At 36.2% G+C, this 21,626-nt stretch overlaps 1 protein-coding gene across 3 annotated transcripts in view; it reads right to left on the bottom strand.

Annotated features, from left to right (window-relative positions):
* Nucleotides 1-21,626, bottom strand: part of GPC6 (glypican 6) — a 1,191,492-nt gene that overhangs the window by 888,060 nt on the left and 281,806 nt on the right. The window contains exon 1 of one of the 3 annotated variants that reach the window (XM_017020300.2): nucleotides 12,214-12,237. The exons of the other annotated variants lie outside the window; for them this stretch is intronic. The gene's annotated coding sequence lies outside the window, so the exon portion shown is untranslated. Of the gene's footprint in view, nucleotides 1-12,213; nucleotides 12,238-21,626 lie in introns of those variants that run through there. 3 annotated transcript variants of the gene reach the window in all.

Genomic DNA, 21,626 nt, shown 5'->3' with positions numbered 1-21,626 from the left:
TACACTGTTTCATTACAAAATTCAATTTAATACAATTCTTAGCTGATGACAAAATTCGTTTCAGTTTTTATAAAAAACCATAGCAAAGCATTCTTTTAAAGACGTTGAATTTTCACATTTTCTGTTTCACAAAGAATACAGAGTCAAAGAATATAGAGTAACTTAGAAATATAACTTTTAGATTTTTCTTTTAATTACAGTCTGAGCCAGGCATGAAAGAGCCTCATCTATTTAGGCTCTATTGAATGGTTACCTGTTTCTCTAAGAGGGGAGTGTCATCCGCCTCCCAGAACCCAGCAGACTGGAATGCAATCAAACTCAAACATTGACTGTGATGCTAAGATGTGCTTTGGTGAGTGTTTTATTTTAACTGTCATAATCACATCAGAAAAAAATAATCTACTCAAGTGCAAATTAAAGTGTATCCCTTTTATTTTTTCCCTTCATCAACTCAGACATTATTATGCAGAAAGTGATTTTCAGGTTGAAGATCAGATTTTGTTTAGTGTTTCTATCTTGGCCTTGTACTAGGAAAATGTAGTTTAAGCTTTTTGTACATTGCTAATGTGTGGAAATTGCCCCACTTTTACGGAAGAATGTGTGTGTATGTGTGTGTAACAGAAACACACAGATGTGCATGTTTGCATATGTAACATCTTCTATAATTTGTTTAAAGTTCATTAAACTAATAAATGTTAAATGAGATAAAATTCTAAAACCTATTCTATAAATTGGAGGATGGTCAGTTTGAATGTAGAAGAATACAGAAAAGTTACACCAGTTTTGGTAGGTGCCTTAGGCAGAAGTAAGCAAACTTTTCTGCAAAAGGCCAGATAGTTTAAGCTTTAAATTTTAGAAAAATACTTTAGGCTTTTAATATTTTTAACTATTTCAGTCTTTGCGGTACATAAGATCTCTATTACAACTACTCAACTCTGCCTGTGTAGCTGAAATGACAGCAGCCATACACAATACATAAATGAATTAGTGTGGCTATGTTCCAATAAAACCTTATTTACTAATACTGTGTGCAAACTAGGTACGGCCTACTGACCTTAGTTTGCTAATCCCTGGTTTAGCCTAGAAATCCTGTTCTTTTATACTGATGTCTTACACTTTGTTAACTATCAACACAGTCCTGCATAATAAACACAATTTATATTGCTACTTGGGAAACAAAGTGCTTTTAAATCTTAATCATATTTAAGAATTACAGTAATTCTTTGAGAAAGGCCCTATTGCATTTACCATTTGCAGAGAAGAAAACAAAGGCTCACAGAGGCTTAACTACTGGCCCAAGAGAGTCCCAAAGCAAGTGTTATCTTCCCTCTGCTGGCATTATTTTGTAGCTCACTATGAGAAAACTTGATGTTTACTAAGATAACAGTTAAGGAACTTTGATTTCCCTAATGAAATGTTCAATTTATACATATTTTAAATATCAGAATATGAATTAGGATGTCAAAGGCTCTGTTTTCAAGAAGTGAAGCTAAGGATGAGAGAGGTGTCAAAGACGGTAGTAGGGTTTGCCTCCAGGTGTCTGATAGAGGTGTGACTAACAGATTGGAAAAGTGGAGAAGCAAGAAGAGTTGACGGAACTAGATTAAGGCCCATCTGTGCTCAGAAAAAGAGGCACACTTATAGGTTTACATTTGAATGTATCCACATAAAGAAAATAATTAAGGAAGCCGGGAAGTCTCCAAAACAGGACATAGATAATGATCAAAACTCTGTCTAGATAAGTTTTCAGAGAGGAAGTAGCATTTAACCACCATTTTCTCTTCGATAGACATAAAATTCAGGATTCTGTGAGCTCCTGTGCTCTGAGGCTCCTTTAAAAGAATCAACTTTGTATCCCAAACAAAACTGAAAAACTGTTTGATAAATGAATAAATTTGACATTCAAAACTCCAAGAAGCTACTACCTGGATGTAAGTATCATCTTACAGTTTTACTACATATACCCCTAAAAATAATAATAATAATATTAATAAGCAATTTCTTCCCTGAATTTTACTATAACTAAAATTAGAAGAGAGATTTGCTGAAAAGGAAAAATAGCCACTGATTTTAAGCATTGAATAGACTAAAATTGCTGACTTATGTGCTTTTTAAATGTGAACCTTATCTAATATGAAGGCATTTTCATGGCACTCCTTGTCACTCTACCCAAAGAAAGATTTGTATTCCCTCACTGGAGTTATTAAGAGCTCTTGCTGTAGTACATGCCAAGATAGGTTAACACCCACAATATACTGATGCTTGAAACAAACCTATGAAATGGTCATTTTTAAGTGATGTTCTGGGCAGATCTGACTAAAAAAATTACAACAGCCACTGAAGTCTAGTTGGAGTTAATTTCTCTCCAAATTAACTTCCCAAATAAAGCATAAAGAACATAAAAATGCAAAGAGCACCAAATGTGAATGAATTAATTATGGCGAATGGAAAAAGAATCTAATTTCAAACAAATAACAAACAAAACCTCCACTGAGTGATTCACATCATCTGAAAATTACAGCCATGAACTTCAAGAATTAAAGCAATTAAATTTTAAAAATGAATAATTTTCCCAAGTTAGCATATGAAAATGTAGCACTTCTTATTATCTGGTTGCCTGAAAAGGAGGCTTGGCCTTGAAAACACATTATCCCCAAAGGGCCATGGAAATTAAATATGAGGCAAGAAATCATATTATCTTACATTTGTTCTTCCTAAGTACATCTTCCTTAGATACTCCATCATTCCTGTGATGAAAGGTGTTTCTGAGACACAAGGTACAAGAGGAAAAGTATCAGGTGATTCTTGTTGCCTTATTAAACCTCATATTTCTCTTTAACGTTTGGTGACAATAGTACACAGTAATTCTCTCTTTGTCTATGAATGCATCTAAAAATAACAAGTGAGTTCAAAATAATTTTCCCTTAAAATCCACATCTTGCTTTTCTAGCAAGAGAGAGCTACATAATGCCTGGCATAGAACATGTATTCAAAGTCTCTTTGTACTATTGGTTAGCTTTGGCCCCACCACATACAGTCCTGACCAAGCTACTGATGGTAATGATCTTTCTAATTCAAAGAGACTGCTGCAAAACCTAGCTAACTGCATATCCACCCAATTCAAAAGCTGGAGGTGATTTTATAGTTTAAAAATTCAGAGGAGCCCACAGGCAGCTAAGCTACCAATTTCCTTCATCCCACATATATGTTCTTATACACCTGTTGCTCACAGAGCATAATATAAAAATGCAAAATAAATACCTTTTTGGTTTTGTTTTGCTTTGTGCATAGATAGGATATCCCATGTTGTTCTATCTTGAAGGGTTTCTTCTTTTCCTACTTTTATAAGTAATTATTTTTTTTATTTCCCATTAAAACTTAACTTACATTGATTTTTGCTTTTGTTCAGAAACCTTTTACTGGTGTTGAAAACCTATGCCTGTCTCTTGAAAAATGTATTCACAGCTTGTTTCCAATTGTACCTGTGCCCCACTTCCTGGCAAAACTCTCCTGGTAAATTGGCAGTATGGGAGGTCCACAATTCTGGGCATTCTTCCCTGCATATTCCAGAATGTTCTAACCCCAAGACCATATTTGATGAATAGATTGGGCTTGGCGACTTCATTAATAAGGACTCCATTCAAGCATTCCATGTTAAGATATAAGGTTGCTAATGACACATGAAAAAGTGAGTGCAACATAGAAAACTGCACATCTGGAGAGAGTTGATAACATCGGTGCTGTGAAGATTTCTCTTTTGATGTGAACCTTTTACTCTACTCTTTTTACTGATGGGCTAGCTACTCCTCTAAAACACACACTGGCTTTTAAGATTTCAAACTTGCTGCTAATGAATTTTTCACATGGCAAGCTTCTACAGTAACAGAGTTCTGAAAGAGCTTTCACCAATGTTGCAAGAAAAGCTGTCGATCTCTAAATGGATTTTGATAAAACAAGTTAAAAAAATACCTTGGGAATTTTTTAGGAAATGACTTACATAAGCCACTATGTGAGTTTTGCTAGATATTTACTATTTTCCTTGGCTTTCTGCGTGTGTGCCTAGAGCTCAAAATTTCTATAGAATTTTTCTATAGATATGACTTTTTCTGAGATTTCAAGTACTTCATTTGTGGATCCTTAATAGTGAGTTTCACTTTGTATTTTATTTATGGTTAATTGTGTGTCTAAATACTCTACTACAAGATACTTGAGAGCAAGAGCATTTATTTAACATGATACGTCACTAGTCAGTATTTAAAAGACAGACTAGTAAGAATGAATATATTTTCAGTATTTATTTTGCCTTTGGAATTTTACTGGGTGACTTACATACAATTAATCATTTCATTTTCAGGACAAACCTATGAGGTAAGTGGTATTGCCATCATTTGCAATTGAAGAAACATAAGGCTCACAAAATTTAAATAATTTGCCCAAGTTTCTGAAGTTAGCCATTGGTGGAGGCAAAATCCAAGCTCCAATCCATCTCCAAAAGAAATTGCTGAATAGACATCTATTAAATGTATTATAAAAACATATTTGATTATCCCTACATAGCATGCATTACTTCATGCAATTTAAAAGAGCTATAAAAACAAATAAATGGTAACAGTCCAGATTAATGTCTTAGTTCAGGCTGCTGTAACAAGAAGATCATAGGCTGGGTGGCTTAAATAACTGAAATGTGTGTCTTAAAGTTCTGGAGGCTGAAAACTCCAAGACCCAGGTGCCAGCAGATTTGGCATCTAGTGAGGACCCTTCGCCTGATTTAAAGATGACCATCTTCTTACCGTATACTCACTCACATGGCAGAGAGAGGACAAAAGCGAGAGTGAGAGCAAAGACAGGCAGTGGAGATAGCAAGAGAGAAAGGAGACAAGCTCTCTGTTTTCTTGTAGGGGCACACAGATACTACCATGAGCCTCCACCCTCATCACCTGGTTACCCCACAAAGGCCCCCTCTCTAAATGCCATCACACTGGGGATGCGAGCTTCAATGCATGAATTTTGGGAGACACACAAATATTCAGCCCATAGCAATGAGTTATGTAATTTTCATATAACAAGCAATGCCAAATGTGTTTTTGTTTGTTTGTTTTGTTTGTTTGTTTTTTTCCTCACGACGACTCTACGTCCAATACAGGTTGGTAGGGGATTCTGTCCCTCATGAACACTCAATAATTCAGGCTAACTCATTCCCTTCTCTGAACAAATCCCAGTCTGACTTTTAAAGCCTCCATCTGGAAACGAGACAGTTCATTTCTACTCACATTTCATAGAAAAATAAATCATGTAGCCATACCTAACTTAAAAGGGAATAGTGAAATAAAATTCTAACATGTGCCCATACGCAGGAGAATCTGTATATGTGGGAGTAGTTCCAATGACCATTGCATATGCCTACCAAGGATGTGAGATGCTCTGAAAAGATAAATTATACTCACTGTGTATTTACAATACAGCCTCAAAGTTATCTGTTCCAAGGAGCTTCTGGCCCCATGTAGAGTTTTGCCCTAACATTTTTGGAGTCCATATTTATTCTTGTTCCTTAATGTTATTGAGTGGTTGTGAGTCTTATTTTCCCTTGAGAGAATATTATGAGAAAAGGTAAAATAGACCGCAAAACTGCTAACAGTTGACTCTTCTTGTATTCTGGGATTGAGTGCAGTAAGGCTCTCTAAACCAACAGAGCACCTATGGCTTCCCTCCTGCCACACAGACGTCTGTTCAGCCAACCAACTTCTCAAATAATCCAAGTCTTTCTGGTTACTAGTGAAAAGATGAATGTGACCAGGAGTGGTGGCTCACACCTGTAATCCCAGCATTTCGGGAGGCTGAGGCGGGTGGATCACTGAGGTCAGGAGTTTGAGACCAGCCTGGCCAACACGGTGAAACTCTGTTTCTACTAAAAATACAAAAATTAGCTGGGCGTGGTGGTGGGTGCCTGTAATCCCACCTACTTGGGAGGCTGAGGCAGGACAATCGCTTCAACCTGGGAGGTGGAGGTTGCAGTGAGCCAAGATTGCTCCATTACACTCCAGCCTGGGCAACGAGAGTGAAACACCGAAAAAAAAAAAAAAAAAAGCCATCATTCAGCAAAGGATTCGTTCATGGGATTTCATGCCACTGGTGTTTGGGAAAATCATCAGAGAGGCTGATTCTCAGCACTTACAACCCAAGGACTTTAATGAAGGGCTATAAAAATATTCAGTCTGCATAAAGTAGAGGTTTAGTCAGACAAGTCTGGCATCACAGAAATCGTGCAATCGTGCAATAGCTGTGTCCTTTGAGTGACTACCAAGAGACTGCAAAAGGGCAGGAGGAGTTATTGAGTAATTGCCTAAATCCCAAATCCAGGCTTTTATTTTAGAATATCTCTGGTGCATTATAATGAACACCACAAGGCAGAAGAACATGATAAGATTCACTTTGAGAATACCAACATTTACTAATTACCAGACACAAAGGTAAAACCTAGAATCATAGTCAAACAATATAAGGTGACAATAGTAAAATTACAATGAATTTTCAGGGCAAAGATCACCAATTTGATTTGGCTAGGTTTATGTTGAACACATGTATTTTACAATTACACAATTGAAAGAAGGCAGAAAATGAAAAGAAAACAAAAGGTCAATTGTAACTGTCATTGGTTTATCATCCCAGGGGCATCCGGGGACTGAGGTGAGGTGGTAAGAATGATTCTATTGATGAGAGTAAAATGTAGATTTAAAGTCTGAGCTGTAATAAAAAAGGTGGAAACTACTACACAAAGTGTTCATCTTACTCCCGCTTGATTCCCAACAGAAGCTACACTGGAGAGAGAACCAGTGAAAAGCAAAGATTAATTCCAGGGACTCAAGTTTGTAATCCAGTTTACAGCAATGGCTCAGTTTTTCAAGGACAATAGCTAACAAAGTCAAGTCCTCCTAGCATATGATACAGATCAGCCATGAATATCTAGCATAGCTAATTTACTCAAGTTAAATGGACACCTTGCACTGTAGTAGCCTTTTTAAATCTGATTTTCATATATACTTTAGAAAAAGTAGTTTTATCATTCTCAGTTCTATAATATCTCTGATATTATAGTTATCTGCTTTTGTGTATAGAAAATCCTTTTAGCATATTATTGTTTAATATCTAGATAATGCCAATTTTTGAAACAACCTACCATTTAGCTACAAATTTTTATCCTAAAATCAACCCACTTGCAGTTACCACATAACCTCACAAATAACTAGTATCTTCTTCCTTCTCCTAACCAAATTTTTCCCAACTCATTTAATGAGGCCAGCATCACCCTGATAACCAATATCAGATGACACAACAAAAAAAGAAAACTACTTGCCAATATCCCTAATGAACATAGATGTAAAAATCCTCCATAAAATACAAGCAAACTGAATCCAACAGCAAATCAAGAAGATGATACACCATGATCAAGTAGGATTTATAGCAGGACTGCAAGGATGATTCAAGATACACAAATCAATTAAGCTGATACATCATGTCAATAGAATGAAAGAAAAAACGATTTCAACTGACACACAAAAAACATTTTATATAATTCAATATCCCTTTAGGATTAAAAACAAACTAAACATAGACAGAACACACCTCAATATAACAAAGGCCATATATGACAAACACACAACTAACAGCATACTAAATGGGGAAAAGTTGAAATCCTTTCCTGTCAGAACTGGAACAAGTCAAGGATGCTCACTTTCACTACTTTTATTCAGTATAGCCCTGGAAGTCTTAGCCAGAGCAATCAGAAAGAAATAAAATGCATCCAAATTGGAAAAGGAGAGGTCAAATTGTCCATTTTTGCTGATGATATGACCTCATATTTAGGAAAGCCTGAAGATTCCACCAAAATATCTCTTAGATTTGATAAATGAATTCAGTAAAGTTGTAGAATACAAAAGCAATGTACAAAAATTTGTAGCATTTCTGTACACCACTAATGATCTAGTCAACAAAGAAATCAAGCAGGCAATCCCATTTAAAATAGCTACAAAAACAAACAAACAAAAAAACCCCAAAGCCTTGGAATACATTAAACAAAAGGGGAAAGATCTATACAAGGCAAACTACAAAACTTGGGTGAAAGAAATTGAAAAAACACAAACAAATGGCAAAATATCCCATGCTCATGGATGGGAAGAATCAATATCATTAAAATGACCATATTGCCCAAAGCAATCTACAGATTCAATGCAATCTCTATCAAAATAACAATGTCATTCTTCATAGAATTAGAAAAAACGATCCTAAAATTCATATGGAACCAGACTCCAAATAGCCAAAGCAATCCTTAGCAAAAAGAACAAAGCTGGAAGTATTCCATTACATCACTTCAAAAATTATTACAAGGCTAAAGTAGCCAAGACACCACAGTATTGGAAAAAAGTAGATACACAGACCAATGAAACATAATAGAGAACCCAGAAATAAAGCCACATATTTAGAGCCAACTAATCTTTGACAAAGCCAAAAAAATTTATATTGGGGAAAGGAAACCACCTTCAATAAATGGGAAAATTGAATATCCATACACAGAAGAATGAAACTAGACCTCTATTTCTCACTGTACAAAAATCAACTCAAAATAAAGACTTAAATATAAGACCTGAAACTATAAAAATACTAGTAGAAAACCTAAGGAAACCCCTCCTGTATATTGTTCTAGACAAAGAACTTACGACTAAGACCTTAAAAGATCAGACAATAAAATCTAGGAGACAAAAGGGACTTAATTTTTAAAATGCTTCTGCACAGCAAAAGAAATAATAAACAGAGTAAAGAGACAACCTGTTGAATGGGGGAAAATATTTGCAAACTATTCATCCGACAGGGGACTAACATCCAGAATATTCAAGGAACTCAAAAAACTCAACAGGAAAAAAAAACAAATAATCTCATTAAAAAATGGCCAAAGGACATGAATATATATATATATATATACACATATATATATACACATATATATATATATATATATTTCTCAAAAGAAAACATACAAATGGCCAAGAGGTATACAAAAAAACTGCTCAACATCACTTATGATCAGGGAAATGGAAACCAAAACCACAATGAGATATCATCTTACCCCGGTCAGAATAGCTAGTCTTAGAAAGACAAAATAACATGTTGGTGAGGATGTAGAGAAAAGAAAAAGCTTATACGCTGTTAGTGGTAACACGCTAGTAGAAAACAGTGTGGAGATTATTCAAAAAACGACAAACACAATTACCATTCAATCCAGGAATCCCACTACTGGGTATATACTCAAAGGAAATGAAACCAAAACATCAAAGGATACCTGCATTTGCATGTTTCTTGCAGCACTATTCACAATAGCAAAGATAAGGAATCAAACTGTCTATTAACAGATGAATGAAGAAAATGTGGTATATATACACAATGGAATACTCTTCAGCAATTAAAAAGTATAAAATCACGTCATTTGCAGCAACATGGATGGAACTTAAGGTCATTAACTTAAGTGAATAAGCCAGGCACAAAAAAGACAAATATTGCATGCTCTCACTTATAGGTGGGAACTAAAAATGTTGATCACATGGAGGTAGAGAGTGGAAAGATAGATAACAGAGACTGAGAAGGCTGATTTGGGGGAGAGGGAAGATGAAGAGAAGTGGGTCGAAGGATACAAACATATAGTTAGAAGGAACAAATTCAATGTTTGATAGCAGACTAGGGTGACCATATTAACAAAAATGTATTGTACTCAAGAGATAGACATCCTAAATATCCTGCCTTGATCACTACACATTACATGTAACAAAATTTCACAAAAACCCATAAAATTATGCCAAAATTGGTTTGAGGGCATAAAATATTAGAGAGACAGACATAATGTTTAATTTCAGGAGTGCTGAAGAGAAAAAAACATTCAGAAGAACCCAGTTTATTAACAAAAATATGCCTTAAAGTATAAATTACCTTCTCATGAAAGAAATTCAATTTATGATTCAACAGAAAAATCTGTGTGCTAGGTATCTGAGAAATCTGCATCTGCACAGGCGCCTAAGAATCAGAAACCAAGCAGAGCTGTCCTAACTATTATGCAAAACAAAAATGAATAACAAAGTAGGCAATTTCCTAAAGTAAATTAAAATGCAATAGCAGGCACTTCATGAATATTTGAGAGTTTTCTTTTTCTCAATGACAAGCACCTGCATGTCTTTTACTACTTTTGCTGTTCAAAACACATGGAACAAATGGTGTTAAATCCATACTTCAAAGAGCCTGTGGAACTCGGTGAGGGCTCTCATGTTTGAGGCAAGTTGCTTTGGTATGTCCACAGATATTAACATTTAGACAGAAGCTTTAAGAAAATAATCATCATTATGAATAAGCAAATACTCTTCAAGGGCATTCTAAGACTATCAATGGAAGGCATTTGGTTTACTCATTATATTGTTCTAAGATTTCACAAGGCTTGTTCTCAGACCCTGTGCTGAGTTAAATGAAGATGTACCCTTTCTTTGAGTCAAGAAGAGCAGCAACAAATGAGCCTTTGAATCCATGTCAACCATGACGTGTTATTGGAGAGGAAGGCAGCCCAATTCTTTCATACTATTAAGGCATAACTACTACATTCATTTGATATTTATACTACATGGAGAATGTAATTCATTTTGGAAACAGCTTTTAACATGTCATCACCTGACTTGTTGCCTGATAAAATGGCCATCAATAAATCTTTACATTGGAAGGTGCACAATTTCAATGAACTTGGTAGCATGATGTGCTTTTAGTTTTAAAGGATAACTCAAATGATTTTAAGTCTAACTCAAATGCACCTATTAATTTTGCCTCTTCTGTTCACCCCAACTGGTATGTGCTCAAGTCACTGGAACCACTGCTTCCCTCACTACTCTGAAGGCTTGCTCTGCCATCAATCACCCTCCATCTTCCCAGTGGAGTCACCTCTCAACAGGTGACCGACCATAAGCTCCCCTGCTTACAGGTCTTCAGGGGCTTCCAACCATTAGCAAGATGAAGCCTAATTCTTCAGAAGGACATACAGATACATTTTCCAGGCTCAACACATACCACTGCCAGTCTTTTCACTTTACAGTATACCACTGCTCACTTCCTCTTAGCTCAGCTTTCTCCCCTACCTGCAATGTCTTCCCTCCACCCTTTCCCTAGAAAAGATCCACATTTCCTCTAAAGCCCTGCTCCGACTGTACTGATGCCTAGGAAGACAATACCTCTCTACCTTTAGGAACAGAATGAATTCACCATCCGTCTGCCACCTGTGCTGGACATGTAATACTCAACACTTTTTCTACAATATATTCTCAGCACAGTAGCCTGAGTAAACCTTTTGTTAATACATAAGTAAAATCATGTCTGTCCTTCACTCAAAACTTTCAAAGTTATTCTAGCTCTCTCAGAATAAAATCCAGCCTTTGTGGCCCAAGATGATTTCAGCCTCTGCTTCTTCTCTGCCTTCATTTTGTAGTATCTTCCCTTTTCTGTTTCCTTTGGCCACACCAGCCTCACCTTGCTTAAACATGCTGGGTGTAGTCCCACCTCAGGGATTTTGCACTCTGTATTCCCTTTGTCAGGAAGCTTCTTCTCCCAGACAGTTGGTGACTTGCTTTCCATTTCCCTAATTCCTGCTCACACATCCCCTAAAAGGGAGGCCTTCTATAACTGCCTAATTTTAAAGAACAAATCAGAGTAGCCTATTCCCAGTTGTTTTCCAATGGACTATCCCTTGTAAAATACAACCTTGACTATCCCTCCTAAAATAAACCTCTCATCACTCTTTATCCCTTTACCCTGCTTAGTTTTCCTTATAATATTTGTTGCCAGATTATAGTTCTTTACAACTTGCTTAATTAAATCTTCTCTCCCTCTACTAGAATAAAAGTGTTTAAGTCCAGAAGCTATATTCCCAGCATGTAAAACAGTGCCTGGGACATGGGAGCCACTCAATGCATATTTGTTGAATAAATAAATATTAGATTTCTTAAGTTTTTTAACTCTCTAGTAAATCTCTTAGACTTTTAAATCACAGAGGACTTTTTTTTTTTCATATGCTTAGCGGTAAGCACAGTAGTTGGTAGAGACAAGCTAATCAATGTGTTTATTAAACAGAAAAACATTCATATCTTGCTCCTCATTCCCTCCTGTCAATAAAGAGACAAGTGATAACTTTCCACCTACCTCGAAAAACATTCTATATGTCAGGACAGGAAAAGTAATTTTTTGAGAATTTTTTATACCCTACTGACTCATGTCACTCATGTCGATATTGGCGAACCAAAAAAGAAAAACATAAAAAGACAAATTATCTATAATACGATCTATGTCTATAACACTTAGATATTTGCTGGCTATATCATTATCCATAATACTGAAGTTCCATGGACTGAAGCTGCTCATTGGAATTAAAGTAGTGAGCTGACCTATAGATCTTTTTCTATAAATAGCTATTTTAAATGTGTTGTGTAATAATATCAAGTGTTTTACTAGATTTGGGGGAAGGGAGGAGTTAGTTGCATCTTCGTTGATTAAAAGATTTGAAGAGTTGATGGTATCTAAGCTCTGCTGTGGAACAGGAAGAGTAAAGAAACTGTCACCAAATTAAAGAATGATAAATGGAGAGAGAAAGGAGAGAGAAGGTGGGCTCTAGTCCAGTCTTCTCGATGTGATCTATTAAGTCTGATTAATTCGGCCGAAGCTTCAGGTAGATAACGGCAGAGCTGCTCCTAGACTTCCTGTTTTCCACTTTCCTACTTTCCTGTTTATCTTTCACAGGGATGCTCCACACAAAGCAAGTAAGTTGACCAGTCCTTGTCTGAGTGTGAATATACTCCGGGCTTTTTTTTTTTTTTTTTTTTTTTTTTTTTGAGACGGAGTCTCGCTCTGTCGCCCAGGCTGTAGTGCAGTGGCACGATCTCGGCTCACTGCAAGCTTCGCCTCCCTCCCGGGTTCACACCATTCTGTCTCAGCCTCCCGAGTAGCTGGGACTACAGGCGCCCGCCGCCACGCCCGGCTAATTTTTTTTTTTTTTTTTGTATTTTCTTTTTTTTTTAGTAGAGACAGGGTTTCACCGTGTTAGCCAGGATGGATTTGATCTCCTGACATCGCGATCCGCCCACCTCGGCCTCCCAAAGTGCCGGGATTACAGGTGTGAGCCACCACGCCCGGCCTACTCCGGGCTTTTTAAAGTACATTCCTTATAGTCTGAAAGAAGAGAGAAAGTTTAGAGCCAGGATATTCAAATAGAAACCACCATGCTTATAAAGTGGGTTATGGAACCATTAATTGTCTGCTTAGAGCCTCAATTATAAGACCTCTAGGGTACCATTTCAAAAATTAAAGTTCTGAGATGCACTGGTAGCCTGGAAGAGTTTATAGCCTCCAGAAATGCCTAGCCCTCCCACAGGGAAAGGAAAGTACATATTGGTAAGTCAGCCTCATATGGAAGAGTTATCTTTTACCTCTTCCTTTTGACTTCCGGACATGCTAGTATAATGATCATTTGAGTAATATCCTAATAGCTACCAAGTTAGTGAACTCTCAGTTTTTCTTACTGGAATAAAGCACGGGAAACATTTCCCAAGATAAAATGGTTAATTTCTTATTGGCTAGCTGAAAGTGCATGAAACAATCCACCAAGTACACAGCCCCCCTCAAATTTTGCAAATCCTCTAAACAAATGAATCCACCTTAGAATACATTCTGTGGGTTTAATGGAGAGCTCCTAACCTTTCTCTCACTTCATTAATGATAGAAGTGGGGTGGAGTGGGCTCTGAACTGTGCAGATATGCTAACATACCAAACCAGACCCAATAAACAACTTTCTCCTATCTGAAGAAATGGCTTACAGCAAACAAAGCCTAGTGGTCACAGGACATAACCTCGGCAGCAATAACTGTATCCAATGACAACAACAGGAGAAGAATGAGATAAAGTAGAAAAACGCACATAGCCCAAATCTTAGGAATGGGAATAACGAGTCTATTTTATAATAGATACACAGGCAGTCCTCAATGTTTGCAGGTCCTGTTTTGCAAATCTTCTTATTCACTACAATTTATTCCTATGTCCCAAAGTAATACAGCACTTTCATAGTCATTCACTAACCTGTGCAGAGCAGCAAGCAGTTTGAGTCATCTGATACACATGTTCCCAGCTGAGGACAAACAAAGCAATGCTTTGCCTTGTTTCAATTGTCACACTTAAACAAGTGCCCCTTTCATGGTCTATTTAGTGCCATATATAAATTCTTTTGCATTTTTGTGCTTTTCCTTGGTGATTTCACTGTTTAAAATGGCCCCCAGCTGTAGTGCTGAACTGCTGTCTAATGTCCCTAAGCAGAAGGCAGTGATGAGCCTTATAAGAAAATATGCATGTCAGATAAGCTTCACTCAGACGAGTTAGAGTGTTGGTTGAGTGCCACTGGCTGTAAGTGCAATGTTAATCTCTCTTTCTCTCTCTCTCTCTCTCTGTCTCTGTGTGTGTGTGTGTGTGTGCACGTGTGTGAGAGAGAGAATGAGAGTTTTTAAACAGTAACACACATAAAACAAGGATGTATGCTAATAAGCTAATGAAAATAGTGTAACTAGAGACTTACAGGGGACCTAACCATGTATTTCCCCCAGGAGCAAAAGTTCAATATTTGGCAATCCAGTGTGCAGCTAGTTTACAGATCATAACTACTGCAAAAAATGAGGCTAAAGCAAGGCCAAGGGCTTCTCTTAGGCCCCTGCTAATATGACATTTTGACTAATATACTACTATATTAATTGTATCACCATAACATGGCTGTAAATATTATGCTATGTTTAATGCAATCTGAACTCCAGATCAACTACCTTTGTATTCCTTTCACATCCGTTTCCATCAAATATGTCTCAAAATAAACTACAGCAACACAACATATTATTACATTGGCCCATTATTTTGTTAAACTGTCATGGTTTGTTTCACACTCAAAGAGGTACAGATTTGTACTGTGTAAGAGAACAGCACTAGGGTTAGACATAACTTTGACTTGTACCTGGCTATATATTTACTAGTAATATGAACAGGAACAAATAACTTTACCTTTCTGATGCTCAGTTTCCTGAGGTTGTCAGAGGACTAAACACCATACAGAAAATTTCTTTGGCATGTGAATGGCAGATAGTAGGAACTCAATGTTGTTGTTTTTTTTAGATAATTATTGGTAATTATTTTATTATACTATTGGAAATGTTATTTTTCTTTTTAAGAATAATTATTATCACCTCAAGATTTCTGACCTTTATCCTTCCCTCCAGCTATTTGAGCCAATGCATTCATTCATTTAATACTAATAAAGTACCTTTACTGCAACAAAATATGGGCTTATCACTAAAGATACAATGATGAATAAGACCCAGGTTTCACCCCAAAAAAGTTACAATCCAGTGAGGGAAAGCAGAAAAAAAAAAAAAAAAACTATGTTGTTTTTATTTTTATAATGTGTTGGCAGAATATGCAGGATGCTCTGTAAATCATACAGAAGTGGGGAGAAGGGGTTGAGAGAACCCAAGGTATGTGTCATATATTATATATGTTTAGGATGTTGTTGGTGTAAGTATGTCCTGTTCAATATTTGGAACTCATATTTAATCAGGCATCCTATATTCTTATTTGCTAATTCTAATAACTTTTGAAGGGAAAATCAACTTTTAAACCATATATCAAAATAACATCTGTCTTTGTTTTTAACACATTCCACATCTTTAATTTTAATCTAACAGGATTATCGAATCAAAGGTGTTATGTTTTTCAGTTGAATTGATCATTTTCTCTCTCCTACTCAAAACCCGCCAGTACCTTAATGTTGTACTCTTTCTTTATAGTTTGAAAAGTAAGTAAAATGCACTTTTTGTAATTTTTCCTTAAGCATTTAATCAAAAAACAATCAAAAAGGCAAAATATCAAACTTTTTTTCTCGGAAGAATGTTGTATTAGAAAGGAAGGTGCTAAATCTAAAGGGTTTATCTTATTTCTCAAAAATTACAAGTGATTATATACTATATCTCATATTGTCTAAATATGAAAATGTCAATGTCATCCACCAAAAATGTCACAACCTCTCTGTAACTGGTTCTATTTTAAAACATTATACTTAACACAAAGTAGTTGAGGTTATTAGCATTCACTTTTCTCTTTCTGATAGAGATGACAGCTTCCGTCAATGCTGTACCACTCAAGCCCTAGAATTCTTACTATGGCTTTCTCTCATCTAGTCCCCCCACCACATAAGATTCCATTGCTACAGCTTCCAGTAGTAGATTCCGATATACACACAAATGGAATATCCAGCAATAACAGGCATTATCACCATTCACCAATGTCCATGTTGAGGACTGCTATCTAAGAGCAGGAGTCAGCAAACACTGACCTAGAGGAAAAATCCCTCTTGCAGCCTGTTTTCTGTGGCCCACCAGCTAAAAATGGTGTTTACATTTTGAAAAGTGAAATATGAAAATAACTGCTATCCCTGCAGCGAGATTATTGCTCAATGTTGCCCTTTGGCTAGCAATGCTTAAAATATTTACTGTCTGGTCCTTTATAGAAAATTGTGCTAACTGCTGCCCTAAAGATTCACCCAGACCCACAGCAACAAATAACTTGTGTGAGCAAGAAATAAACTTGTGTGAGACAACAAAGATGTGCAGTATTTGTCATAGTTGTAATTTAGAACTTGGTAGCAATAAGCTTCCCTGAGACTCAACTTTCCTGTTATAAAATGGGTGCACATTAAATGAGATGATGTACATGAATTGATAACTAGTAGTCCTAAATGATACAGGATGGTATGCCCATGGTGAGGATGTATGGAAGGGAGGTAAAACAATGAATGGATTACAAAAATATTTTCTATCTACTTCACAGTTTTGCCAAAGTGCAACCTTATCTACAATAAATTAGTTGGCAAATGTTTAAACTCTTCTTTTTTTAAAATTTTAAACTTTTTTCATAATTATTTTAGTACATTTTATTATTACCTATGCTTTTGAAGTTAGTTACATCTATAGTATCTGGTAGAAATATTATATAATAATGTGCTACACGCAGCCCTTCCTAATTCTACATACAGTGACATCACATTGCTAACTTGAAGCTAACCGTGGTAGGAGCATTTACCCCATGGAAATTGGCAAATATTACAAATCAGGGCTTTGTTTATTGTTTTGCTGATTGTCTAGACTAAGAAGCAGAAAGCATGATAATAATACAGAAAAACGTTATAACATACTATCTCTATAGCTGTCACACTGTGAATAGCATAAAAAATGTTGAAGAAATATTCTTCCAGTGTTCCAAAACTATTATCCAATTCAGCAGTTACTCACATCACTGATGAACAAATGAAGTTCCAACACATCTTGGTAATTTCACATTTGTCTTTCTCATTAATGTAAACAAAAACATCAACCAACATTCAAACTACACTTGTTAGTCAATTAAAACCACAGGTTGGGTATAGATGTAAGAGTTTGGCAAAAATTGAAGAACACATTCTGTAAGAGTCCATTGGCTATATGGAATTTATATTTAAAATATTGTTATTTACAAAGTATGTGGGGCATATTCATTACATTAGTGAAATTTCTCTCTCTCTCTCTTTCTTGCTCTCTCGCTCTCACTCTCTTTCTCCCCCTCCCTCTCACTCTCTTTTTCTGGAGAACTGATTTATTTTTGTTTGTTTTGTTTTTGTCCTGTTTTGTGTTTATGTTTAAGAACTGTTAACCAGGGCTTTTGGGATCTACATTGTTACCTTGAAAAGTAACAATTTCCCACAACTGAACATATTGCTACTTAATGAACTAGATATACAGAAAGCCTGAAGATTTTAAATGTGCCTGGGTCTATTACTTTAGATTGAGGAAGAAACATTTTAAAAGACCAATATATATTCTAGCATAAAATCTCTGATCTTCAAGTTAACACTCTTTAATATATACTATTCTACATTCTACTAGAAGTGAGCATTTCAAATTATTAAACATGGATATAATGTTGCTTTAGTTATCTGAAAACTGTAAAAAAGAATTATGTGAAAAGACTACTACTATGGTTAAGTAATTTCTGGTTTATATGAAACATTTGTAAAGATATGAAGTCAAGGCAGTAATTTAGATATTTCAAACTGGTGGTCCACAAGCCGAATTGAAACCACAGGTTTGTTTGTGTTTCAGCTTATTTTGCTTCCATTTATGTGGAGACGAACTCAGTGTCTCACATGAAATGTGAAGATGCAGTAAACTCTTCTTTTTGTCACTTCTTAATTTTTCTAATACATATTTCAGTTAATATTTGGAAGGCACTCTATCAGTTTTGTGGTTCAACACCCACATTTCTGAATGGATAAAGTTGTGCAAAATTTCAAACAAACAAAGAAAACAAAACAAAAAACTATTACTCATTTTTATGTCAACTTTGACAGTCTGAAATTTAGGGAAGATTTCATAGAAAATTTTGCAAAGTAATTTCTGTTCTAGAAATAAGCGTATGGGACCTCAAGCCCTGATTCCTTCACAGAAGGAAGTTTTCTCACCACTTCTGGTTCTCTACCTTATATAAGGTGAGAGATTTTCTAATAGGTATAGTTCTTGGGGCTGATTATTCCCCCAGAGTGCTATTTCTCTTTAGAGGAGTCTGAATCAAATTGGTACCCAGAAGTGTGAGATTTAAGCATTTTAGAAAATGTCCTCTATGACTTCAAAACCCACTACCAACTATCTTTATGTTTTCAGGCTTAGCAATCCTCCTTAATTAAACAATGTATTGGTTACAGGAAACAGTACAAGTGTTTTTCATCTTATTTATAATAATTGACTGACTGCAGGTGGAAAATTTACAAATATTTAGAATAAAGTTCTCGTGTGTGGATAAGATACTGGCATCTCTCAGATAGTACAGAAAATGTGCATAAAGTAACAAAAAGTTCTTGTTAACACAACAGTGCATCACAGACCTAGACTGAGGTCATTGCCATTTTCAGGTGTAATTTCTAACACATCCACATGGATTAATGTCTTGAGTGTGACATGTTGTACAAGGCTTTCCTGTGGGAGAGATTGGGCAACAGTTTTGGAAGAAACAGCTTAGAATTGCTGTTACAAACTTAATGTTCTTAGTGCTCATTGTCTATTTTTAAGCATAACACTTTCTACACTCCTTAAAAAATGATTATATGGAAGCCCTCTCATGGTGCAAGAACAAGATTTTCGTTATGGAAAACTGATATTTAAACAGAGCTGTTTAAAAACTTTAAAAAATATTTCTATCATGCATTGATTTGGTTCCAAATAAAACATACGAGTTAATGTTGAAGAAGAGCTTTGAGGATGTAAAATAGATATATGTTCGTGGGATATTAAGTAATATGCAATTATTTTTTTTGCAGTTTGGATGCCTTTCATATAGAAATGAGTTTTTTCACTGCTTCATAGAAGCACAAATGAAAATGTTCTCCTACTAGCTGGCCCTGGCATAGCTTGCCGGCTCCAACTGTTCCTCAAATGCTCTTTTATTCCAACGATCTGAAGCTCTAAATTTATTCACTAGCCACAACCTTGACATCATCCAGGTCTCTACACTCTCTTTTCAAAATTCTAAGTGTTTTGCTTTCTTATTCCTTACCAAGTTATTACAGGAATCATCAGATAAATCCGTTAGTCCCACAGTTACTCTTCTGCCAGCACTTAAGATTTCCTGTTTCCATGCCTTCCCTCCCTGTAGCTCACACCAAATGCCAACCTGGAATTGCTTACAGCATCTGTCCTATCTGCTCGTGGTGGGTTTAAGTATGCCAAAGAATGCCAAAAAATAAAAGGATTCAGCACTGAGAAACAGAGGGAATGACAAGCAGGAAGTGCTGTAAGCACTGAAGAGTGATGACTTTCCACGGCAGAAACGGGCCAAGTGAGCCTTGAAGAGTGTGTAAGATTGTCATTCACAGATGAAGCTGGGAAGATACAAGCAAAAGCCTCCACAGACACTCATCCTAAGGCATACCTTGAAATTTAAAAGCAGTTACAATTTACTATACTAAAAGCTCAGTCAAGTCACATCTAACTTTGTAACACAAGAAAGGCAACTCGTGGCTGTCACAGTCAAACATCAACAAATCTAAGGAAAGAATCATAAATAATGAGAGATATATTCATTTCTCTACTGAGGTTTGAAAGAGCTAGATCCTAGTTGCAGTTTGCAAGGAAGTGCCAGAAATCAGCATGTCGTCCACTCAGCATCCGCCTCCCTATTCTATTTCCTAACTTTGTCCAGATTTTCATTCAGGTGTTCACTCCTCCCACATGCAGGAGAAGCTAGCTCATGAATTAATCAGTATAATCCATGCCATTGCCTATTCTATGACTGGCATATGAAGTCAGAGAGGACAAGTGCCCTAACTCAGTCCCGTTCCAGGACACGCTTAGAGATGAGGATGGCAGTTCTTTCTCATGAAGTGAATGCCAATATGAAAAATGGAAACCCCAGTGGCAGCAGGAGCTGACTGATGACTTTGACAGAATGTTCAAGTGTCTAAATGTCTTCTAAGGACTTTGCCTTGTCCTAACAAACTCCCTTTTATGACAACAGAAACTCTTGAGTTTAGTGTGAATTTGGATCTCTGACAACTAAGCAGATGTGGAAACAAACTCTTTTTTAATCTTAAAACCAATAATCCATATCCTTAATAATTCCATAAGAACCACATGGATAGTCAGCTGAATTTGCTCACAAGTAGACTTTACTGTAAACTGTGGCTGCCTTTGCCCTCAAAACATGTGTGTATGTGTTTCTGTGTGTGTGTGTGTGTGTGTGTGTGTGACAATTAAGGATTGTGGATATACTATGTTAATTTTTGTTTCCTTACTCAAATACATTTCCAGAATCAATAAATAAATGCTGAATGAATACACAAATGAATTCATAGAAATAAAATTAAAACACAAGGCTTTCTATATAGGCACTTTAGATCCTCTACCCTGCATTCTATTATGCTAACAAATAATCCAATTCATGGGAGAACTATGAGAAGATTTAAATAACTAGGATTTTGAGAAAAAGTCTCTGGATGGCAATGAAATTAAAAAACAGATAAAGTAATATCATAAAGAATATGGCACACATATATTTACAAATGGGACAATATATTAGTTCATTTTAATGCTGCTGATAACAACATAACCGAAACTGGGAACAAAAAGAGGTTTAGTTGAACTTACAGTTCCACGTGGCTGGGGAGGCCTCAGATTCATGGCGGGAAATGAAAAGTACCTCTTACATGGCAGCAGCAAGGGGAAAAATGAGGAAGAAGCAAAAGCAGAAACCCCTGATAAACCCATCAGATCTCATGAGACTTACTCACTATCATGAGAGTAGCACAAGAAAGACCAACCTCCATGATTCAATTCCTCCCACAACACATGGGATTTCTGGGAGACACAATTCAAGTTGAGATTTGGGTGGGGACACAGCCAAACCAGGTCAGACAATAAGATGTTTTAAATGCCATCCTCAGGTGTTTGTAGGTATATGTAAGAAATCAGACAGTTCACCCTCAATTAAAAGGGTATCATGACTG

The sequence above is a fragment of the Homo sapiens genome, chromosome 13, assembly GCF_000001405.40.
Source record: "Homo sapiens chromosome 13, GRCh38.p14 Primary Assembly".
NCBI classification, from domain to species: Eukaryota; Metazoa; Chordata; class Mammalia; order Primates; family Hominidae; genus Homo; species Homo sapiens.
This window is presented reverse-complemented; position numbering and strand designations above follow the sequence as displayed.